Source organism: Homo sapiens, chromosome 17 (assembly GCF_000001405.40).
Source record: "Homo sapiens chromosome 17, GRCh38.p14 Primary Assembly".
NCBI classification, from domain to species: Eukaryota; Metazoa; Chordata; class Mammalia; order Primates; family Hominidae; genus Homo; species Homo sapiens.
Genome location: NC_000017.11, coordinates 5072543 through 5096685, shown reverse-complemented (window position 1 = coordinate 5096685; position 24143 = coordinate 5072543). Strand labels below are relative to the sequence as shown.

The window sequence follows — 24143 nt, the reverse complement described above, 5'->3', positions numbered from 1 at the left end:
GATTTTTTGTTAAAGGCCATACAAATGGTCCGGAATATTTTAAGTTGCTAATCATGAAGAAAAACGTGTATACCAACACACGCACAATAGATAACACTTGTCCTGTTATTTAAGATGAAGGATCTCACCAAGCAAAGCAGATCAAGGACACAGAATGTACACTGTATGCAAAACCAGAAGCTAACAAGCATGTGGGGGTATTTAGGTAAGGTGAAACTTACAAGGTGGGGATGAAACTGGTAAACAAAGTCCTTATTAAATCCATAGTGAAACATAATGCAATTTGGAATAAACATGACAAAGGCATTGTATCAATAAAATAGTAAAGAAATATTTTATTTACCTAAGGTGTTAGTATACCATTAAAATTAGGGAAGGAAGAAAATTTTGTACATGGGCATAGCTTCAAAAATTCTGAAGGGTATTTCTGGGTATTTAGATAGGACTTTTAAGATTGAGGCCTGTGCGGTTTTTTAATGGGTCTAAAATTAAGACAATTCATGTCCTTTCCTTGATAGTATTTGCACAAATCATCATTACCAGTCACGACTGTGGTCAGATGCTGACTCCCAAGTAAGTCGAAGAGGGAGGCAAACAGAAGGAAAAGAGAAATCTTCCTGAGATATCTGGGTAAGACATGAAGAGGACAGAGAATTGAGGTTAAGGATTTGCGTATATGTACCTAATAAGATACAAGTGATTTCATTCACCAGAAATCTGGGGCGGGGCGGGGAATATGTATCTATATATGGTAGACTTTTCTGGGAATGAGACGTGAGACCTCCCCCTTAAGAACATGGTCAGGTACAACAGGTCACTAAATTGCCTCCTAATGTTCAAATGAATGAATGGTGAACTAGAGGAAGTTTTGCTGAGCAGGAATGGGTTTAAGAGGGTAATTGAGCTAGGGCCAGGGGAGGCGAGGTGATGGATTGGATATCTAGTAGGCAAAAAGAAGTTGAGGTGACTGAGCCTTGAGAGGGGAGGACAAGAGGAAAACCTTCATTGGTTTGGCCAGTAAGGTACTTCTGAGAACAAAATGTCTAATAGGATGCACAATGTGAACTCTTCTCCTTTGCTTACACACTATCTTCAGTGAAGTCCATATTGCTCAGGGGTGTTTGTGTGCATAGATTGTTTAGGAGAAGCTTGAAGGGGTGCCAAATTCTCTGTCAGGGCTGACAAGAGGTAAATGTGGAAATAAAATATGCAAACACGGGAATCAGGCATGGAAGGGATAGGTGAGATCCAGGTTTCATGTGAGAAAGATACGGTCTGGGCACAATTCAATTTGTGCTCCAGCAATGAAAAAGGAATAAGACGGCGCACTTCACTTGTAATCAACCTAAGGGAAGAAGTAAATCAAACAACTTCCCTTACTAAGAGTGTGACTGCTAGAGGCAGAGGTATCTGGAAGGATGTGGAAACTCTGCAATCATCTATTTGTACAACCCTTTTCTCAAGCCAAGGATATAAACCTGGGAAGACACCTATATTGGAGTACAGAATAAACCCATTTGGTGAATTTTTTTTGGCTGTGATCAGTTCTGTTACCAAGGACATGATTTAAATTTGTTATATTCAAATCTACATAGAAATCAGTAATAGAAACTGTGCAAAGGGTTTCAGATAAGGCAGTAATGAATCTGCCTACCTGCGGCATAGCACAGTGGTTAAGAGCATCAACCAGGTTTGGAGTCTTGGCTGTCGCTCTTACTAGCTGTGGAATCATGGGTCAATTACTTAACACTGCCCCTTCTTATCTTTTAAATTGGGGTAAGAATACCCACATCATTGATGGTTGCACCACTATGTAAATTAAAAATCATTCAACTGAACACTTAAAACAGGTGAATTTTATAGTACGTAAATTATACCTTCATAAAGCTTTAAAAAAATGAGTACCCACATCATAGAAATGATGTGAAAATTAAAATGTAAACTGGCACTCTGCCTGTCAGGTAGTAAACACTCAATAAATATTAGTGACTAATATTAGTGTAACAAAGATGAGGTTAAAGAATAATAAAGATATATAAAGTTAAATTTTTAAAGAATTAAGGAATTATCGGGCTGGTTGAAACTTTTGAGATCACTTAGTTCAACTCTTTCATTTTACAGAGGAGAAAATTGGAGACCAGCAGGTGAAGTGCCTTGTTCAAGGTCTAGCGCTAAGACCAGCCCCCAGGCCTGTTGGGCCCCCATTAGTGCAATTCCCACTGTCACCCACGGCCTCAGAAACATGGACACATGGAAAATGTAGGCTGTTTCCTTGGAGAAGAAATAAATACAGAACACAAAAAACATGCAGACATAGCGAAGAAAGAATTTCAAGGCCGGGCATGGTAGCTCACACCTGTAATCTCAATACTTTGGGAAGTTGAGGCAAAAAGATTGCTGGAGCCCAGGCATTCAAGACCAGCCTGGGCAACATAGCAAGACTTTATCTCTATTTTTTTAAAGTTATTCAAGAAAAAAGAATTTCAAGGCCAAGGGGCAAAACCAAGAAGAGGCTACGACATCCTGACTTAGCCAGGGCCTCCAGTGCGGTCCAGGTCATGAGAACTTAAGTGCTTTGGCAAGGCCAGACCCTGGTTTGTCATCAGGTGAACTGACTCATCACTGTAGCCAGGTGCCCGGAGGAGGTGAAGCCACAGTCCTGTCTGCTACTTACTGTCACAATATCTGTCAGCAGTGGCAGGAGATGGGGCTAAAAATATATGCAGCAGAATTCTTAGGAGCAGTCAGTCTGAGCACCCCTGAAGTGTGGACAGCTCCTGAAGAGCTGCTTCTGCCCATGCCGAGCAGTGTGACCTCAATTGTTTATCCCCTGGTGTTGCCTAATCGGCCCCTCTGGATTCTAAGGCCTTCACTTATAATCCCGTTGTAAATTGCCTGTCAGTTCCTCCATCATGGCAGCCTCTTCAGATGAATAAGGAAGCCTGACAGATGTGAAATGAGCCTGCTTCTTCATTAATGCTGCCATCTTCTAAAGTAACTTCATAGCAGGGCTGGACGACTTTGAAGCTAATAACAGCTTACTAAATTATTCCAATGCTAAACAGTGGACAGGAGAATGAGGTGTGTCTTCTAAATTATGACTTTCTAATATTTCAGGGGGTAACAGTCAATGAGTCAACTCTCATTCTTAGGAGGTGGTGGAATCCTGTTCCCACAATTTTGCTGAAGAGTAATTTAGGAAAGATGGCTGGTACAGACCCTTAATGTTTGTTATGTGATCCACTGGGGGAGGAGAAGGGGAAGGAAGGACAGAGGGGAAATTAAGGCCTGAAAGAGCTTTTATGATTTAACTTAGCACACTGAAACCTCTCAATGAATAATTCATAAAAGTGCCTCATTAGTGCCTGCAGTCCTAGCTATTTGGAAGGCTGAGGCAGGAGGACTGTTTGAGCCCAGGAGTTCAAGGAAGCAGTGAGTTACGACTGTGCCACTGCATCCCATCCTGGGCAACAGAGCAAGACCCCAATGCTTAAAAAAAAAAAAAAAAAAGTGCCTCATCTTCTTCAACCAACTATTTAAAATCAGTGGGAGGACAGAGGAGGTTCTGTCCATTCATTGGATTTGAATACTTGGGGTGCATATTTGCATATTATGAACAAATGAATAAGTTGGACTTTAGCTTTTCCACTAAAAGCTTTCCTATTTTGCAGATTACTCCATACAGTGAACACTTTGATGTCGGAGGAGGTGAGAGCTCCGACTAAAAGTCTTCTGACATTCTTGGCACTCATAAGGCTTCTCTCCAGTGTGAATTCTCTGATGTATGATAAGTTGGGAATGCTGGCTAAATGTTTTCTCACACTCGCTACATTCATAAGGTTTCTCTCCAATATGAATTTTCTGGTGGAGAAGCAGCTCAGAATTATCCCAAAAGGTTCTTGCACACTCATTACATTGATGGGGTTTCTCTCCAGTATGAATTCTCTGGTGGACAATAAGGTGAGAGGTCCGCCTGAAAGCCTTTCCACACTCAAAGCATTCATAGGGTTTCTCTCCAGTGTGAATTCTCTCATGTCTAAGAAGTTCTGAGTTCCCCCTGAAGGCCTTCCCACATTCCTTACATACATAGGGCTTCTCACCAGTATGAATTCTAATATGTCTAATAATCTCTGAGTTCTGGCCAAAAGTTTTCCCACATTCATTACATTCATAGGGTTTGTCCCCTGTATGAATTCTCTGATGCCGGATAAGCTCAGAACTCTGCCCGAAGCCCTTCCCACATTCATTACACAGATATGGTTTTTCTCCAGTATGAATTTTCTGGTGTCTAATAAGGCCTGAGCTATGCTTGAAGGCTTTGCCACACTCATTGCATTCATGGTATCTTTCTTCAGTATGAATTCTCTGATGCTGAATAAGCTGTGAACTAACCCTAAAGGTCTTCCCACATTCATTACATTCATATGGTTTCTCTCCAGTATGGATTCTCTGGTGTAGAATAAGGGCTGAATTTTGACTGAAGGCTTTACCACATTCTTCACATTTATAGGGTCTCTCTCCAGTATGAATTCTATGATGGTGAATAAGGTGTGAACTCTGAATGAAGGCCTTTCCACATTCATTACAAGCAAAGGGTTTTTCTCCAGCATGAATTCTCAGGTGCCGTCGAAGGCTTGAATTAGTTCCAAATGTCTTTCCACATTCTTTACATTCAAAGGGTTTTTCTCCACTATGAACTCTCATATGCTGGATGAGATGTGAGTTCTGATTAAAGGCTTTCCCACATTCTTTACATGTATGAGGCTTTTCTCCCACAGAACTTCTCTGTGTTTTGTTAGATTCTAAAATCTCTAGGAAGTTTTGGCCAGAGGTAGCAAATGCACTAACTCCCTCTGTTGTATCTCCCTGATGTGTAACCAGATTTGGGCTGGGACTGCAGCCTCTCTCACTCTCATTATTCTCCCGGTCTTTCTCACTTGAGGGTGATTTCTTAAAGATCATCAACCCTGATGGAAAGTCTCTCTCCTGAGGAGACATCTGCTCTATAACCTCTTCCATGGACTCTCTCGAATGTCCCTCCAACATGTCTTCTTCACATCCTGCTCCAAACTCATGACCTTGGTAAACCACTTTTGGAAATTTTTCTAATAATGACCCATGTGGCTCAGATTCTTCAGAAATTTCTTCCTTGGGAATCACCTCCTTGTTCTCAGTCCCCATCTCACAATCTGAAATGAGAGAGGTAAGTATGTGAAGGGACCGTATCATATTTAAATGAAGCTAACACTAGAGGACAACAGAGCTTTGATGTAGTTCTCATAGCACTCAGAAACAGTCTTGGTCAGGGGAGGAGGGCAGCTGAGGCAGGAGGATTGCTTGAGCCTGGGGAGGTCAAGGCTGCAGTGAGCTGAAATGCGCCACTGCACTTCAGCCTGGGTGACAGGGCGAGACCCTCTCAAAACAAAAAAACAAAACAGAAACAGTCTTGATATCTGGCGAAATGACAAGATGCTGCCAAAGAGAAGATCCAGATTTAGGATTATGGTGGACATGCTAAACAGTGGATGCTGACAGGAGTGAGAAAAGATTTCAAGAGAGAAGTAGGAAATGGATGGTAAAGAGATGCTGATAAAAAAAAAATCCATAATATTAACGGTGAGTTGGGTTAGAACCTGAAGGTGATTAAAGAAAACATCTAGGGAAAATGGTGGCCATATTAATAGATAGGTATACGATAAATATTGAAAGAAGGGACAGAAATGACATGGTGGTTCACATCTGTAATCCCAGCACTTTGGGAGGCCGAGGCGGGCGGATCATTTGAGCTCAGGAGTTCAAGACCAACCTGGGCAACATGGCGAAACCCTGTCTACTAAAAATACAAAAACTAGCTGGGCATGGTGGCGTACACCTGTAGTCCCAGCTTCTTGGGGGGCTGAGGCAGGACAATTGCTTGAACCAGGGAGGCGGAGGTTGCAATAAGTGGAGACTGCACCACTGCACTCCAGGCTGGGTGACAGAGTCAGACCCTGTCTCAAAAAAGAAAAAAAAAGGACAAGTTAATATAAATAACTTTTGGGTGTACAGGGGAAGTAACTGCAAAATGAGTAACAAGAGGACTATTCTTAGTCCTGTTCTCTGGTACTCATCAGCTCTATAGAGCAGGAGAGGGGACATAGAGGGCTTACCTCTTCAAAAGATTAATGTGTCTTAGCTATAACTAGCACAGAAGTACCGCCTTTGGCTCCCTGACATTTGGAGCCACTGGCTTTAAACTTCTCCAAAGGGCTACTGAATTGTGTCAATACCATTTACTGAATAATTCTTTCCCCTACTGATTTAAAATGCCACCTATGCCATAGTCTAAATATCCATCTATATTTGGGCCAACTTCTGGATTCTATTCAGTTCCACTGATCCTTGTCTTCTCTAATATCAAACAGTTCAACCTGTTAGCTTTATTAACATTTTTAATATATGCTAGAGAAAGTTATCTCAGTTTTCTTTTTCAGACCTTTCCTGTCTATTCTCATATCTTCCCAAGTAAACTTTAGTATAAATTTGTAGTCCAAACTTATGCTGATGTTGTTTTTATGTTCATCATGTCTCTGTACCTCTTTTCATTTAGTGAGATTTTCTTACATTTTGTAACTGGCTATTACTTATATATATAGCAATGCTGTTGATCATTACATATTAATTTTGTAATCAGCTCTCTTATAGTATTTTCTTAATACCTTCATAGATTACTTAAAGAGTGCATTTTTGGCAGGGTGTGGTGGCTCACACCTGTAATTCCAGTACTTTGGGAGGCAGAGGTGGGAAGATGGCTTGAGCTCAGGAGTTCAAGACCAGCCTAGGTAACATAGGGAGATCTTGTCTCAACTAAAATTTTTTAAAAATTGGCCAGGGGCAGTGGCATGTGTCTGTAGTCTCAGCTACTGGGGAGGCTGAGGTAGGAGGGTCACTTGAGCCCAGGGGGTCAAGGCTGCAATGAGCCGTGATTGTGCCACTGTACTCCAGCCTGGGTAATAGAGCAAGACACCTTGTTTCTTGGGCAGGGGTGGGTGGGAGGAGAGTACCTTTTTAAAACTTTTACAAAGATTTTTAGTTGTGGCAAAAATGTTTAGTTGCCTACCCCAATATTATTCCCCATTGCCTTATAACAGAATAATAAATTTATATAGTGTGGCAATTAGCCTAGCTAAAAAAATACATTCCCCAGCTTTTTAATTTTTGCAGTTGGGATTGGCCACATGATCATATTCTAGCCAATGAGACAGTGAGATGCAAATGAAACCACATGGGACTACTAGGAAATCTCCTAAAGGATGAGGAGATACATTTCTTCCATCTTGTCTTCCATGCTGTTCCCAGAGCATGATGTGATAGCTGGACACCATCCTGGACCATGAGTATACTGGCATAGCCTAGGACTGGGGATCACAGCTGGAAGGAACCTGGGACCCTGATGACTCCATGGTACTGCCATACCAATCCTGGAATGCCAGCCTCTGGACTTCATTTATCTAAGAGAGAAATAAGCTTTTGCCTTGCTTAAGATATTGGGGGTTTTTTATTATTATACGAGGCCAAACCTATTCCTAATAAAACTGTCCTGGGGATTTGGCTGTCCCCACCACAGACAAGGGGTCCAAATGCCAGGAGAATAAGCCTGACCTTTGTTCAGATGGTAAGCAATCTGGAACTAATATTAAAGTGGCCTTTGCTTAGGGCAGTCTATTTGTGCACTACGGCAAATCTGAGGAATACAATCCTCCCGTCAGTGAAAGTGTTCACTGTGGAAGGTGATTCTCAAGGGGGCATGGGAATGTATGGAACTTCATCCTTTAGACATTGCAGAACTATGGGATGGTTTTTTAAACCAAGGAATGACATGGTCCCTAGTCAGATTAGCATTCCACGCAGATGCACACTCGTGGTCGTTTAGTGGCTGAAGTAGAAAGCAGTGGGCCTGGCCGGGCGTGGTGGCTCACGCCTGTAATTCCAGCACTTTGGGAGGCCGAGGATGGTGGATCACGAGGTCAGAAGATCGAGACCATCTTGGCTAACACGGTGAAACCCCGTCTCTACTAAAAATACAAAAAATTAGCCGGGCATGGTGGCGGGCGCCTGTAGTCCCAGCACTTTGGGAGGCCAAGGCGGGAGGATCACGAGATCAGGAGACTGAGACCATCCTGGCTCACACGGTGAAACCCCATCTCTACTAAAAAAAAAAAAAAAAAAAGAAAGCAGTAGGCCTGCACATAGGAAGATCAGCTGGGAGGCTGCTGCAGTCATCAAGGCAAAAGGTGATGTGATCTCACTAGAGCACTAGTAGCAGTGGGGAGGAAGAGACAGGCTGGGGAAATACGGAAGAGGTCAAATTCTGCAAGACTTGGTGTGTGACTGGAGATAGGTGTAAGGAGGGAGGACTCAAAGATGGTGCCCAGATCTCACTCAATTTGAGGGATGGTAATTAGATGGACGGTGGTGCCACAATATTCTGAATACTGGGAGAGGAGCTAATATAGCAATAAAAGATGATCAGTGAGCTCTGTTTTGGACAAAATGAGTTTCAAGGTATCCACAGAGAGGTATCAAAGAATCAGTCAAAATATATTGGTCTAAAGCTCAAAGTAGTCAGGACTAGAGATACAGACTTGAAAGTACTCAGCCTGAGTGTAGCATGAGAACCATCAGAGGCTGCGAACAGAAGCCTAGGAGTCAAAGAAACAGTCACGAGTGCTCCAGTTATCTTCCATTTTCCCTCTAGATCTTCTTTCCACCTTTCTCCCTGTCCCTCTTTGCCCCAGAAACCTAACCTGTATGGAACACATCAACAGAGCCTCTGGCTTCCAGCTGTGGTCCACCAATGAGGAGCCCCAGCAGGGGTCTGGAAGCAGGGACGAAAGGGCAGGGCAGGAGAAAGGGGTCAGGGTTCCTTCCTGTGAGGTCGCCTTGGGTTGGTGTTGTCCCTCAACTGAGGTCCCTACTCCTCTCAACTCTATCCTACTCAGTAGTCTCACTGTCTGGGTTCCAGTAACCTCTACTCCCTCCTCTCTCTTCAGGCCCAGGGCTAGTGACTATTATTGCCAGCCCTGGGTTCTTCAATGACCTGCCCACACCTAGATCATTTATAATTAACCTCGCTGCAAATAAACCCTCCTCAAATTATCCTAATTTGAGTGAGCTGTTTCCTGTTCAGACTCCGTTCATAAAGGGGTGAGTAGAGGAAGAGAATGAGCCAAGAAGATAAAGAATGGTAGGGAAACTGAAAAACCAGAATAATGTGTCACAGAAGTCACTTAGGCATTGGCAGAGGGAATTTAAAAATATCGAGTGAAGGCTAGGAACGGTGGCTCACGCCTTTAATGCCAGCACTTTGGGAGGAGTAGGTGGGAGGATCACTTGAGCCCAGGAGTTTGAGACCAGCCTGGGAAACATAGCAAGACCCCATCTCTACAAATTAAAAATTTAGCCAGGCATAGTGGCATGTGCCTGTAGTTCCAGCTACTCGGGAAGCTGAGGTGGGAGGATCACTTGAGCCTGTGAGGTAGAGGCTGCGGTAACCTATGATTGAGCCACTGTACTCCAGCCTGGGCAACAGAGTGAGACTCTGTCTCAAAAAAAAAAAAAAAAAAAAATCAAATGCAGTTGAGATTCGCTAGGATAAGAATTAGAAAATGTCTACTGAGGCTGGGCACAGTGGCTCACGCCTGTTATCCCAGCACTTTGGGAGGCCAAGGCAGGCAGATCATGAGGTCAGGAGATCGAGACCATCTTGGCTAACACGGTGAAACTCCGTCTCTACTAAAAGTACAAAAAAAGGAGCCAGGCGTGGTGGCGGGCGCCTGTAGTCCCAGCTACTCGGGAAGCTGAGGCAGGAGAATGGCCTGAACCCGGGAGGCGGAGCTTGCAGTGAGCCAAGATCACACCTCTGCACTCCAGCCTGGGTGACAGAGCGAGACTCCGTCTCAAAAAAAAAAAAAAAAAAAAAGAAAGAAAATGTGTACTGAGACAATAGATAGTCACATATGAACTGTGAGCACAGATTCAGGGGAATGACAGTAGCAAAAGCCAGCTGGTAGTGGACTGAATAATGAATTTGCTGCTTCTTTAAAAAAAAAAAAAAAAGTGGATGAAAGGAGAAGACCAAGACGGACAGTGCTATAGAGCAAGGCTTTCCTCTGATGGAAGAGATATGAACATGTTTATATTAGAAGGAATAGGTCCAGCAGAGAGACAGGGGTTAAGAGTGAAGAAAGGATGAGATTACTGAAGAAACAAAGACCCTGAGCAGCAGAGGAGGCTGGAGTCATGTGGTAAGGGAAGGGGAAAGGTGGAGATTTGGGGGCGACTTTGGACTCCCCTTCTCTCTGCCCAGCCTCCCGTTATCCACAGGATGTTGGTTACTAACACCATCCGGCTCGGGCACCTCTAGTCACTCATCAGGGCAGCCTGGTAATGCCCCCCTCCCCAGACACCTGGAAGGAACCTGATCTCCTACTGGAATCCTGAAGTCTTAGAAGCTCTTTGTGCTACACCTGAAAATGAGGTGGAACTTTCTTTGACCTTCCCCATCTCAGCATCTTCTCTCATTTTCCCATGAAGTAAGAGAGGGCACCTAAAAACTGTACTTCTCCTTTTTGTTGAAATCTTTGAAAATTATAGGTAATGTGTATCTATACAATTGTAAGAATCCATTGTCGAGAATTTAGCTATCTTCTTCCTCCATGGTACCATCTGAGTTGGGAAGTACTGTCTTAAATACATTTCTCTCTCATCCCTACCCAAGAGCAAGTTCCACAAGCTGCCATTTCAGTCTCCATCTGCTTCCAACCCCCTCTCTGGCCTTTCCTTTTCATCCTCATGCCTCCTATACTTGCTTATTTTCCATCATCTAGTTCTTTACAAAATCAGCATTCGTAGAGCTGACACGTGTACCACGATAAATGGAAAATCACTTTTTCTTAGCAAAACAAGATACGACAGAAGTTAGGTATGTATTTATCCCCAGTCAAGTAACCAGGACCTAGTTTAAAACTCAAATTCAGGGCCGGGTGTGGTGGCTCACACCTATAATCCCAGCACTTTGGAAGGCCGAGGTGGGCAGATCACGAGGTCAGGAGATCAAGACCATCCTGGCTAACACAGTGAAACTCCATCTCTACTAAAAATACAAAAAATTAGCTGGGCGTGGTGGCGGGCGCTTGTAGTCCCAGCTACTCAGGAGGCTGATGCAGGCGAGTGGCGTGAACCCAGGAGGCGGGGCTTGCAGTGAACCAAGATTGCGCCACTGCACTCCAGCCTGGGCGACAGAGCAAGGCTCCGTCTCAAAAAAAAAAAACAAAACTCAAATTCAGAAAGTCTCCCCTGGCCAGGCACGGTGGCTCATGCCTGTAATCCCAGCACTTTGAGAGGCTGAGGCAGGCAGAACCACCTGAGGTCAGGAGTTCGAGACCAGCCTGGACAACATGGTGAAACCCTGTCTCTACTAAAAAAAACACACAAAAAATTAGCCAGGCATGGTGGTGTGCACCTGTAGTCCCAGTTACTGGGGAGGCTGAGGCAGGAGAATCGCTTGAGCCCAGGAGGCACAAGTTGTAGTGAGCCAAGATCACTCCACTGCACTCCAGCCTGTGCAACAGAGTAAGATTCCATCTCAAAAAAAACACAGAAAGCCTTCCCCCACTAAATCTTACCCACTCTGATCATTCTTTTACTTTGCATTCTGCCAGCAACACAGTATGTCATTTGTCAAATACTGCTCTATGGGTATCTTCTCAAATACAAATCAAAGCCAATCTCCATTTGGTTGATTCTTCCAGAGGCACAGCCATATATTAGGCCTCAGACTCATATGGAAACACCACTTCTCATAGCCTAAATTCAAATTCCCAAATACAATTTTCTATCTTTCCGTTTCTCACTTCCTCACTTTCCTAAATCTGAAATTAAATGTTTCTGAAGAGAGATAAGATGGAGGTGCTACTGGAAGAGTAGAGGTTGACCACTGGTCCTCAGTTTGGGCATGACAGGCAGACCTCTATTGGGTTTCCACAGCTCAGAATAGGACCCTCAACTTGGCAGACCTAAATTTGTCTTTTCAATGCACCCAAGGAAAGCAAGCTCAAAAAGCCTCATTCAGGCCGGGCGCGGTGGCTCACGCCTGTAATCCCAGCACTTTGGGAGGCCGAGGCGGGCGGATCACGAGGTCAGGAGATCGAGACCATCCTGGCTAACACGGTGAAACCCCGTCTCTACTAAAAATACAAAAAATTAGCCGGGCGTAGTGGCGGGCGCCTGTAGTCCCAGCTACTTGGGAGGCTGAGGCAGGAGAATGGCGTGAACCCGAGAGGCGGAGCTTGCAGTGAGCCGAGATCCCGCCACTGCACTCCAGCCTGGGCGACAGAGCGAGACTCCGTCTCAAAAAAAAAAAAAAAAAAAAAAAAAAGCCTCATTCACAACGTACTGATGTATAAACCAGATATCTATTAATTAACAACAAGAAATAAAATTTATAAAGGACCATATTACCTAGATGAAAATCTACATGAGCCAGGCACAGTAGCTCATGCCTGTAATCCCAGCACTTTGGGAGGCCGAGGCAGGCAGATCACCTGAGGTCAGGAGTTCAAGACCAGCCTGGCCAACATGGTGAAACCTCATCTCTACAAAAATACAAAAATTGGCTGGGCATGATGGTGGGTGCTTATAATCCCAGCTACTCGGGAGGCTGAGGCAGGAGAATCAGTTGAACCTGGGAGGTGGAGGTTGCAGTGAGCTGAGATCGCACCATTGCACTCCAGCCTGGGCGACAGAGCCAGACTCCATCTCAAAAAAAAGAAAAGAAAAGAAAAGAAAAGAAAAGAAAATCTGCATGGAAAGCCACATAAAACCCTGAAAATTGCTTAGGAGCCCTGAAATCATGGCAGGAAGATCTTGTTAGATGAATGTCTCTTAAACAATGGTTCCTGGCCTGGAACTAGGCTAGCTGCGTGAGAATCCACTGAGAAATCTGTTAAAAATACTAATGTCCAGGTCCCATCTCAGATCTCTCAGAATCAGAATCTCTAGTGGGACCAAGAGATCTATATTTTAAACAAGTACCCTAGGTGATTCTGATGCCCAGCCAGGTTTGAAAACCACTGTTACAAAGTCTTTTTTTTTTTTTTTGAGATAGAGTTTCACTCTTGTTCCCCAGCTGGAGTGCAGTGGTGCAATCCTGGCTCCACCTTCCGGGTTCAAGCAATTCTCCTGCCTCAGCCTCCCAAGTAGCTGGGATTACAGGCTTGCACCACCGTGCCTGGCTAATTTTGTATTTTTAGTAGAGATGGGGTTTCTCCGTGTTGGTTAGGCTGGTCTCCAACTCCTGACCTCAGGTGATCCATCCACCTCGGCGTCCCAAAGTGCTGGGATTACAAGCATGAGCCACTGCGCCCGGCCTACAAAGTCTTAATGACTGGAGTTATCCTACTCTTAATGTGGTGTATCCATCTTTACCCAAAACCTGGCCTACAGGCAGATCAACACAGGTGTCGAGCAGCAGAATTATGGGTACATTGCCAGTTCCTGCTCTGACTTTTTTCCTCTTCTCAATCTAGATTGCCCCTCCCCTCCCCTAAACCTGACAGCAGACAGATATAATACAACTGACTGCATACCTCTTCTGAGTTAAAAACCACCTTTCTCTTATGCTTAACAAACTGACTCTAGTTACTGTAACTGGACCTGATTTTGCCCAAACTGCATCAACCTGCATTTACAGCAATCTCTTGTAGCAATATCACAACTTTTTGAACTTATCTGCCAAAAAGCCACACAGTGATTTGTAGTAAAACATTACGGCATAATCTGGCAGCTGACTGACAACCTGATTACATCTTTTAAAAATTCTGTTGGGACTGGGCACGCCTATAATCCCGGCACTTTGAGAGGCTAAGGTGGGTACATCACTTAAGCCCAGGAGTTTGAGACCAGCCTGGCCAACAGGGCGAAACCTGTCTCTAGAAAAATTACAAAAAAATTAGCCAGCCACGGTGGTGAATGCCTATAATCCCAAGCTACCTGGGCAGCTGAGGTGGGAGGATCACCTGAGGCTGGCAGGTGAAGGATGCAGTGAGCTATGATCACACCACTGCACTCCAGCCTGGGTGACAGAATAAGAGACCCTGTCTCAAAAAATTAAGTAAAATTTTGTTGGGAGCAAAGATTGGGACTTGTATTACAAAACGTCCAAAAAACTCACTTCTTCAACAAATTGTCTCTGTATGGCACGCTAGAGGATTTTCCACTGCAGAGGGATGCACCATGGTAACCTTAAGGAGATGCGTGAGTGGTGTCTTTATTTATTTTATTTTACTTATTATTTTTTTGAGACGGAGTCTCACTCTGTCGCCCAGGCTGGAGTGCAGTGGCGTGATCTTGGCTCACTGCAACCTCTGCCTCCTGGTTTCAAGCGATTCTCCTGCCTCAGCCTCCCTAGTAGCTGGGATTACACACGCCCACCACCAGGCCCGGCTAATTTTTTATATTTTTAGTAGAGACAGGGTTCCACCCTGTTAGCCAGGATGGTCTCGATCTCCTGACCTCATGATCCACCCGCCTCGGCCTCCCAAAGTGCTGGGATTACAGGCGTGAGGCACCGTGCCCAGCCTGTTTTTTGTATTTTTAGTAGAGGCGGGGTTTCACCATGTTGGCCAGGCTGGTCTCAAACTCCTGACCTCAAATGATCCACCCACCTCGGCCTCCAAAAGTGCTAGGATTACAGGCGTGAGCCACCATGCCTGGCCGGTGTCTTTCTTTTATAAAAGAAGAAAAGGGCCAGGCGTGGTGGCTCACGCCTGTAATCCCAACACTTTGGGAGGCTGAGGCGGGTGGATCACGAGGTCAGGAGATCGAGACCATCCTGCCTATTACGGTGAAACCCCGCCTCTACTAAAAACACAAAAAATTAGCCGGGCGTGGTGGCAGGCACCTGTAGTCCCAGCTACTCGGGAGGCTGAGGCAGGAGAATGGCGTGAACCCGGGAGGCAGAGCTTGCAGTGAGCCAAGATCGCACCACTGCACTCCAGCCTGGGTGATAGAGCGAGACTCCGTCTCAAAAAATAAAATAAAATAAAATAAAATAAAATGAAGAAAAGAACAATTGTGAAAAAATGTGAGAGAAGAGAAACCTACAGGCCACAGGCCCATTCTTAAGCAGATCACTCATAGGCAAGGATACAAAATAAAGTCAAGGATCTAGAAGTTGATTTCCATTCAACAATCTATGTGCCCAAAGATGTTACAGAAAGTGTCTGTGTACCCCCTCCACATATTTCCATCTGAAGACCACTGCACTATAGCATTCCGGACAGAAAGTGGGCAAGCAAGAGGCCAGGAAGTACAGGAGGAGTAAGAAAAGAAACAGACATCACGGCTAACACGGTGAAACCCCACCTCTAGTAAAAATACAAAAATTAGCCAGGTGTGGTGGAAGGCACCTGTAGTCCCAGCTACTCGGGAGGCTGAGGCAGGAGAATGGTGTGAAGCCCGGGGCAGGCCGAGCTTGCAGTGAGCCAAAATTGTGCCACTGCACTCCAGTGCAGAGTGAGACTCCATCTCAAAAAAGAAAAAAAAAAAAAAAGAACAGAAACAGAAAAAACATTGGGATTTCAATGTAGCATGCACGGGGTGGGATAAATATGGAGGGGAGATGAGCCAGGCAGCACTGACATTTTGATGTGGAGGCTAATGATAAGCTCTCACCATGTGCTAAGCAACTTACAGACATTAACCCTTACCACCACCTCATGAAACAAGCAAGCTGGAGAGCATCAGAGTGAAGAGGGGCCAATCACCATGCTCTCCTGACTTCTTTCAGTGGCAGTTTTGGCAGCCTGAGAATCCAGGGAGATGTGTGGTGGAAGACTGAGGAGGCGAGGCCTAGGGAGGTTAGTCAGGACAGAGCTGAGATGACTAAGTGAGATACGGATGGAAATGAAGGGGGGCTGGGAGGAGTGGGGTGCTAAGAGATGGAGGTTACAGAGAGGGTGAAGGATGTGATGAGCACCTTCTTTGTGCTCCAAGGGAAGGTAACCAAGGGAAGGTATCTGGGAAACTGGGATGAGGTTTTATTTTGAAATGTCGAAATTTTAATACCTCAAAAATAATATCCTTTGAAACTCATTAAAATTTATGATGAGAAATGGAAATGTTTTGGATGTCAACTTGCAAATGTATAAAGAGACACAAACCTTCCAAAATTATTTTACGGGGTATGTGAGCAAAAATATTTGCAGTGGCTTTGCTTTCCTTGCCAGAGATCTAACCTCATCCAAGAGCTCCAGCAGGACACTCCAACTGAGTTAACCCAGTCAAATAAATGCCCTAATTCTTGCAAGGCACTGGTTCAGAAACAGCAAGGATTCGGGAATTCCTGGTTTGGAAATGGACATCCACCTTCATCTGGGTCAATATTTTGAGGACGTTTGCTGGGAGCTTCTGGGAATAGTTTCCTGCCATCCTGAGAGAACCATAGGAAAATACTTCCATATATTATTGCCTGTACCTGCTGCTGCCATCTCACTACCAGCCTGTGGATGAGGGCAGCTAAAGCTCAGAAAAACAAGGGAGATGCTGCCAGGGCCACTGGATTAATCAGTCCTGAAACCACGATACCTATTTTTTTTTTTTTCTTTGGAGATGGAGCCTCGCTCTGTCTCCCAGGCTGGAGTGCAATGGCGCAATCTTGGCTCACCGCAACCTCCGCCTCCCAGGCTCAGGCGATTCTCCCACCTCAGCCTCCCAAGCAGCTGGTATTACAGGCATCTGCCACCACGCCTGGCTAATTTTGTATTTCTAGTAGAGACAGGGTTTCACCATGTTGGCCAGGCTGGTCTCGAGCTCCTGACCTCAGGTGATCCGCCCACCTTTGCCTCCCAAAGTGCTGGGATTACAGGCATGAGCCATCACGCCCAGCTGACCCCCTCCATTTTCTTCCCTGACCCCCAGGCTCTAAGGCAGACAGCTACTCCTTCACCTTGTAGCAGCTACCCCACTGCATTATTAATTTTTCATACCTATTTTCTTCTCTAGACCATAAGCAAGGATGCTGTTCCATTCATCCTGGTATTCTGAGTACCTAGCATATTTCAGATACCTGGTAAATGTTAAGTGAATTTGTGTAACTGTCTTATATATATAATGAATCTGCAATACCTCCCTTTTTTCTGAGACAGGGTCTTGGCTCTATTGCCCAGACTCACTGCAGCTTCAACTTCCCAGGCTCAAGAAAATCCTCCCACCTCAGCCTCCCAAGTAGCTGGGACTACAAGCATGCGCCACCACACCCAACTACCCAACTAATTTCTTTGTTTTTTGTACAGATGGTGTCTCACTATGTTGCCCAGGCTGGTCTTGAACTCCTGTGCTCAAGTGATCCTCCCGCCTAGGCCTCCCAAAATGCTGGGATTACAGGCATGAGCCACTGCACCCAGCCTCTGTAATACTCTTGATGGCTAACTGGATATTTCATTCATCATTATATCTAAAGAGCCTAGGATAGTGTCTGACACATAGCTGGTGTCGATAACTGTTTGTAAAAATAAGTTCCTTTTCCCAATCTGGGTGATATTTAATTTATGGCACTGTTAACCTCCTTTCCTCTCTTCTCCCTCTGACCCACAATAGGGCTCTATCTTTGCAGCTCAAACCTGTCTCCTTTTCACGACCACCCCTCATAAGCCAATATCTTGTCTGGCAGCACAGGGCACAATCTGCCACTAGGGCGTTAAGTTTGTGACACTGCCCGCCATTTCGTCCTAGCGGTTTACTTGGGGGTGGAATGTCTGAGAAAACCACAGCTCCCACGGGTCCCCACCTCGGTACAGAAGGGAGTGTCCCTGCTTCTCCCACCCCCACGGCTGACAGGCACCAAACCAGAGCTGGGACTGTCCCTGGCGGTGTCCAGGCCCCACCCTCTCTGTGTGCAGGTGGAAATGAAGGCCTGGGGGCGGGGGGAATGGAGGGAGGCATAAACTTCAAGGTCACACAGCGAACCCCGGTCAGAACGGGCCTAAACGTAGGGTTTCCGCTCGGCTCTCTAGGGAGCTGGGAGCCCAGCCCCCGCCTACCCCCACAGCCGCGACGGAATGAGGTCTCACCGCAGGCCGCTACTGCCCCGCGCTCGCTCACTCCGCTGAGGCTCCGCGCTGCTGGGCCGCTCGCACAGAGCCCGCAGCTGTTGTCCCGGTGTCACTGGCGACGGGCATCGGCCACTTCCGGTACCCGGGCGGCACTCCAGCCAATCGGCGCGCGTCGCACTCCGCTGGAGGAACAGGTGGTCAGCGCACCGACGCCCCCTTGCCTTTTCCGGCTTGCTTTTCGCCGGTTCTAGCCCTAGCCCAAGTTCCACGTCGCCGCCGCCTGCCGAGCCGGCTCCCTGGAACAGCAAAGTGCACCCGTCGATGCCCACTTCAGCCCCGGAATCATTGACGACCTGAGTCCTCCGGGTTTCCTAGAACGGCTCCGGGGATGAACTTCCGCTCCGCGATCTGCCGCTCTGCGCCCTCGTGTCGCTCCCCAAGCATTGCTCTAGGCTCAAGAACTCGAGAATCCGCTTCGCATTCCCGCGGGGACCGTTTGCGCGACCCTTTTAACTCTCCCAACCCGCATCGTTCTTATCCCATCCTTCCTTTCCACAGACTCCGTGGGTCTGATAAGCACAGGGCTGCAGATCCTGGGAACAGGTCTCTCCTCGGCGGGAGCGAAGGGAGACATGCTTTGAGTTCCGGAAGGGCTTGCAGGAGTGACGTTTGGCCTGAAATCTCAAGATTGCGTGGGAATTACCAAGGTTAAGAGTAAAGGCCTAGGTTAAGCTGCCGAGGCCACGGAAACAGCATTCTGCAGCTAGCCTTCCTGGGTTCCCTGAGCAAGCTTGGCCCATTCTCACCTCAGAACCTTTCCTTGTTACTTCCTCTGTAATTTTGCACAGCCAGCTTGTTTTCTTGTTTGTTTGTTTTTTGAGATGGAGTTTCGCTCTTGTTGTCCAGGCTGGAGTGCGATGGCGCCATCTCCGCTCACCGCAACCTCCGCCTCCCGGATTCAAGCGATTCTCCTACTTCAGCCTCCCCGAGTAACTGGGATTACAAGCATGTGCCACCACGCCCGGCTAATTTTGTATTTTAGGTAGAGACGGGTTTTCTCCATTTTGGTCAGGCTGGTCTCGAACTCCCGACCTCAGGTGATCCGGCCGCCTCGGCCTCCCAAAGTGCTGGGATTACAGACATGAGCCACCGCGCCCGGCCTCCAGCTTGTTTTTGTTTGTTTTTTGAGGCGGAGTTTCGCTCTTGTCGCCAAGGCTGGAGTGCAATGGCACGATCTCTGCTCACTGCAACCTCCACCTCCCGGGTTCAAGCGATTCTCCAGCCTCAGCCTCCAGAGTAGCTGGGATTACAAGTGCCAGCCACCACGCCCGGCTAATTTTTGTATTTTTAGTAGAGACGGGGTTTCACCATGTTGGTCAGGCTGGTCTCGAACTTCTGACCTTAGGTCAGACCTTAGGCCCACCTTGGCCTCCCAAAGTGCTGGGATTACAGGCGTGAGCTACCGCGTCCAGCCAGCCAGTTTGTTTTTAGGTGTCAGTTCCAAGATCACCACATTGAAGACTTTCATTCTATATAATGTTGCCTCAGAGTACACTATCCTTCCCAAATATCAGTTACAAAGGACTATGATTAGCCCTGTTTGGGTCTGGTGCTCAACCATGGACCAATCAAGGGGGAAAGGACCGTGTGATTTACCAAGCCTGGTCACCTGCCTTCCCGCAAGGATGACGGCGGGCTTCTGTGTTTGCCTCACCATAATCCTATGAAATAGGGAAAGGAGTGACCACCCTTAGAAGGGAATATTGTGTTTGTATGCCACACACAATCTAGCAGAAAGAAAACTTTCTCTTGAATTCATCATTGCCATTAGGCCCTAGACTCTAGGGTCCATCACTTTAGCCACTCTGGTACTAAAATCCTTAACTCCCTTGCCCTACTGTCTGCAACTGCATGGGAAGTTTGTTAACTCTGATTCAATCAGAATATCTATTTTCCGGCCGGGCGTGGTGGCTCATGCATGTGATCCCAGTACTTTGGGAGGCTGAGGCAGACAGATCACAAGGTCAGGAGTTCGAAACCAGCCTGGCCAAAATGGTGAAACCCATCTCTATTAAAAGTACAAAAATTAGGGCCAGGTGCGGTGGCTCACACCTGTAATCCCAGCACTTTGGGAGGCGAAGGCGGGAGGATCACAAGGTCAGGAGTTCGAGACCAGCCTGGCCAATATGGTGAAACCCTGTCTCTACTAAAAATACAAAAATTAGCCAGGCATGGTGGTGCATGCCTGTAGTCCCAGCTACTCGAGAGGCTGAGGCAGAAGAATCACCTGAACCTGGGAGGCGGAGGTTACAGTGAGCTGAGATCACGCCACTGCACTCTCGCCTGGGCGACAGAGTAAGACTCCATCTCAAAAAAAAAAAAAAAAAACTACAAAAATTAGTCAGATGTGGTGGCTCGCACCCGTAATCCCAGCTACTCGGGAGGCTGAGGCAGGAGAATCGCTTGAACCTGGGAGGCAGAGGTTGCCGTGAGCCAAGATCACGCCACTGCACTCCAGCCTGGGCCACAGAGCGAGATTCTATGTCAAAAAAAAAAAAATCTGTTTTCCTTGCCCATGCGGCTAATGGTGAGTGGGAAAAATATATTTTGTTTAAGAGTCCTAAGGTAATCTTATGGTCTCTGCTTTCCACAGGCCCAGAAATCACTTTCTGTTTCCCTACTCAGCTTGTCTACCATTTTCCACGGTTGCCATTGCAACCTTCCTCACTCTGCTCAAAACTTTCTCCAAGCCGTGATCCAAGAAAAGTCCATTTCCATCAAAATCATTGCAAGCTACATTTATCCCAAGGAAAGACGCCCAGACTACAAAAATATCCTGCCGCAGAACCAAGGGTGGAAGATATTTGGTTTTACTGAGCTTTATCTAGTACACCTGCATTAATGGGTGTCTGCCTCAAGAGCCTAAATCGTGATTCTCAACCTTGACTGTGGGGAAAAGCAAGAGAGATCAGATTGTTACTGTGTCTGTGTAGAAAGAAGTAGACATAGGAGACTCCATTTTGTTCTGTACTAAGAAAAATTCTTCTGCCTTGAGATTCTGTTAATCTATAACCTTACCCCCAACCCCGTGCTCTCTGAAACATGTGCTGTGTCAACTCAGAGTTGAATGGATTAAGGGCGGTGCAAGATGTGCTTTGTTAAACAGATGCCTGAAGGCAGCATGCTCCTTAAGAGTCATCACCACTCCCTAATCTCAAGTACCCAGGGACACAAAAACTGCGGAAGGCCGCAGGGACCTCTGCCTAGGAAAGCCAGGTATTGTCCAAGGTTTCTCCCCATGTGGTAGTCTGAAATATGGCCTCGTGGGAAGGGAAAGACCTGACCATCCCCCAGCCCGACACCCGTAAAGGGTCTGTGCTGAGGAGGATTAGTATAAGAGGAAGGAATGCCTCTTGCAGTTGAGACAAGAGGAAGGCATCTGTCTCCTGCCTGTCCCTGGGCAATGGAATGTCTCGGTATAAAACCCGATTGTATGCTCCATCTACTGAGATAGGGAAAAACTGCCTTAGGGCTGGAGTGGGACCTGCGGGCAGCAATACTGCTTTGTAAAGCATTGAGATGTTTATGTGTATGCATATCTAAAAGCACAGCACTTAATCCTTTACATTGTCTATGATGCAAAGACCTTTGTTCACGTGTTTGTCTGCTGACCCTCTCCCCACAATTGTCTTGTGACCCTGACACATCCCCCTCTTCGAGAAACACCCACAAATGATCAATAAATACTAAGGGAACTCAGAGGCTGGCGGGATCCTCCATATGCTGAACGCTGGTTCCCTGGGTCCCCTTATTTCTTTCTCTATACTTTGTCTCTGTGTCTTTTTCTTTCCTAAGTCTCTCGTTCCACCTTACGAGAAACACCCACAGGTGTGGAGGGGCAACCCACCCCTACACTTGACTGCACATTGGAATCACCTGGGGTCTAAAATCATGGCTGTCTGGTGCCTCCCACATAGACTCTGTTGAAATTGATCTGAAAAAAGATCTGGACGTGGATTGTTTTGCTTTTAACTTTCCAGGTAATTCTGACCTACAGCCATGGTTGAAAACCAATAGCATAGGCCAATGGTTCTCAAAGTGTGGTCTCTAAACCAGCAGCATTAGCATCACCTGGGGACTTGTTAGAAATGAAAATTCTTAGGCCCCACCCACAGATCTTCTAAATCAGAAACTCTGGAGTTGGAGCTCAGAAATGTGTTGTGGCTTTTTTGTTTTGTTTTGTTTGGTTTGGTGGCTGTTGTTTTTTGAGATGGAGTCCACTCTGTCGCCCAGGCTGGGGTGCAGTGGTGCCATCTCAGCTCACCACAACCTCCGCCTCCTGGGTTCAAGTGATTCTCCTGCCTCAGCCTCCCGAGTAGCTGGGATTATAAGTATGCACCACCACACCTGGCTAATTTTTGTACTTTTAGTAGAGATGGGGTTTCACCGTATTGGCCAGGCTGGTCTTGATCTCCTGTCCTCAGGTGATCCACCTGCCTCGGCCTCCCAAAGTGCCAGGATTACAGGTGTGAGCCACCAAGCCCGGCCCAGAAATGTGTGTTTTAACAACACTTCATGGCTCTGATGCACAATAAAGTTTGAGAATCATTGGCCCCAGCTTTGGCAGTGCTTAATCTGACCTGCGCTTGTGTGTGAGTTAGGAAGGAAAAGGATAAGTTGTCTCCTCTCAGCCACTCCCCGGCTCACCGTTTGCTTTATTTTATTTTATTTTGTTTTGTTTTTTGAGATGGAGTCTTGCTCTTGTCGCTCAGGCTGGAGTGCAATGGCGTGATCTTGGCTCACCGCAACCTCCACCTCCGAGGTTCAAGCGATTCTCCTGCCTCAGCCTCCTGAGTAGCTGGGAATACAGCCACGTGCCACCACGCCCGGCTAATTTTTGTATTTTTAGTAGAGACAGGGTTTCTCCATGTTAGTCAGGCTTGTCTGGAACTCCTGAGCTCAGGTGATCCGCCCACCTCGGCCTCCCAAAGTGCTGGGATTACAGCCGTGAGCTACCACGCCTGGCCCACCGTCTGCTTTATTACACTAGCCAACCTAGGTGCCACCTGGAGTAATAGGAATCTACTGAGTGAAGGAGACAAGGACATATGGTTTGTAAATACTGTTCCCACTTTCAGCCTGTATGAGGATGTGTATGACTGGGCAGGGGCTGATGTTTCACGGTCTACTAACAGGTTCAGGACTTCCACAGAATTGGCTTTATAGGTGAGTATGAGCAGTTCTGTTCCTCTTAAAAAAAAAAAAAAAGGTAGATAGGAACACTGACCACCCTCCTGAATTCACACAGAGACAAACACATGGAGAAACCAAAGACACACTGCACTATTTCACCCTTGTCCCTTCTCTTCTATCTGTAGAATATGTGAGAAGGAGGGCTACAGGCACTGGCTGCACTCCTTTCTTACATTTTTATTTTATTATTTTATTATTTTATTTTATTTTATTTTTGAGACAGAGCTTCACTCTTGTCGCCCAGGCTGGAGTGCAATGGTGCAATCTTGGCTCACTGCAACCTCCGCCTGCTGGGTTCAAGCGATTCTCCTGCTTCAGCCTCCCAAGTAGTTGGGATTACAGACATGCACCACCACTCCTGGCTAATTTTTGTATTTTCAGTAGAGACAGGGTTTCGCCGTGTTGGACAAGCTGGTCTCGAACTCTTCACCTCAAGTGATCCACCTACCTCGGCCTCCCAAAGTGTTGGGATTACAGGCATGAGCCACTGCGCCCGGGCTCCGCTTCTTATCACTGCCAGCTGCTTCCTTACTCCTGCCTTTCTTCTTTTAACTAGGCCAACCTCACAGAACATCCTACATACCCAAAGTCTCACTCAATGTGACACAGACGAATCTTGCCTCATGTGATTTAACTATTTCCTACAGACACACAGCTGTCCTTGAGGTCCAGGACCATGTCACATGTCTTTGAGAGTTCTGCAGGAGGCACTGGTGGTGCTGGGCCTCTGTTCAGTGGAAACTTGATGGACAAAAATATTCATATCTCACCTCTGCACAGTAACGTGACTGGCTGAAG

The 24143-nt window shown here is 46.4% G+C and overlaps 1 protein-coding gene and 1 long non-coding RNA gene across 2 annotated transcripts, besides 2 other annotated features; one reads left to right on the top strand and one right to left on the bottom strand.

Moving 5' to 3' along the window:
* Positions 1-311: 311 nt before the first annotated feature.
* ZFP3 (ZFP3 zinc finger protein) lies at positions 312-18219 on the bottom strand. The gene is made up of 2 exons (NM_153018.3): positions 18111-18219; positions 312-5189 (listed from the first exon to the last, which is right to left on the bottom strand). Exon 2 carries the CDS (start codon positions 5179-5181, stop codon positions 3673-3675), a length of 1509 nt encoding a protein of 502 aa, NP_694563.1. The 5' UTR covers positions 5182-5189; positions 18111-18219; the 3' UTR covers positions 312-3672.
* Positions 17880-18751: an enhancer, noted in NCBI's record as "H3K27ac hESC enhancer chr17:4981230-4982101 (GRCh37/hg19 assembly coordinates)". NCBI's record gives its function as "activates a minimal SCP1, AML or CMV promoter by ChIP-STARR-seq in primed H9 embryonic stem cells {active_cell/tissue: H9 hESC(primed)}" and the evidence as "EXISTENCE:reporter gene assay evidence [ECO:0000049][PMID:30033119]".
* Positions 18443-18512: an enhancer, noted in NCBI's record as "active region_11565". NCBI's record gives its function as "activates an Ori minimal core promoter by ATAC-STARR-seq in GM12878 lymphoblastoid cells {active_cell/tissue: GM12878}" and the evidence as "EXISTENCE:reporter gene assay evidence [ECO:0000049][PMID:35858748]".
* ZFP3-DT (ZFP3 divergent transcript) lies at positions 18573-21008 on the top strand. Its single transcript, NR_186458.1, has 2 exons — positions 18573-18799; positions 20746-21008. It is a non-coding gene; the product is annotated as a ZFP3 divergent transcript (long non-coding RNA).
* Positions 21009-24143: the final 3135 nt, after the last annotated feature.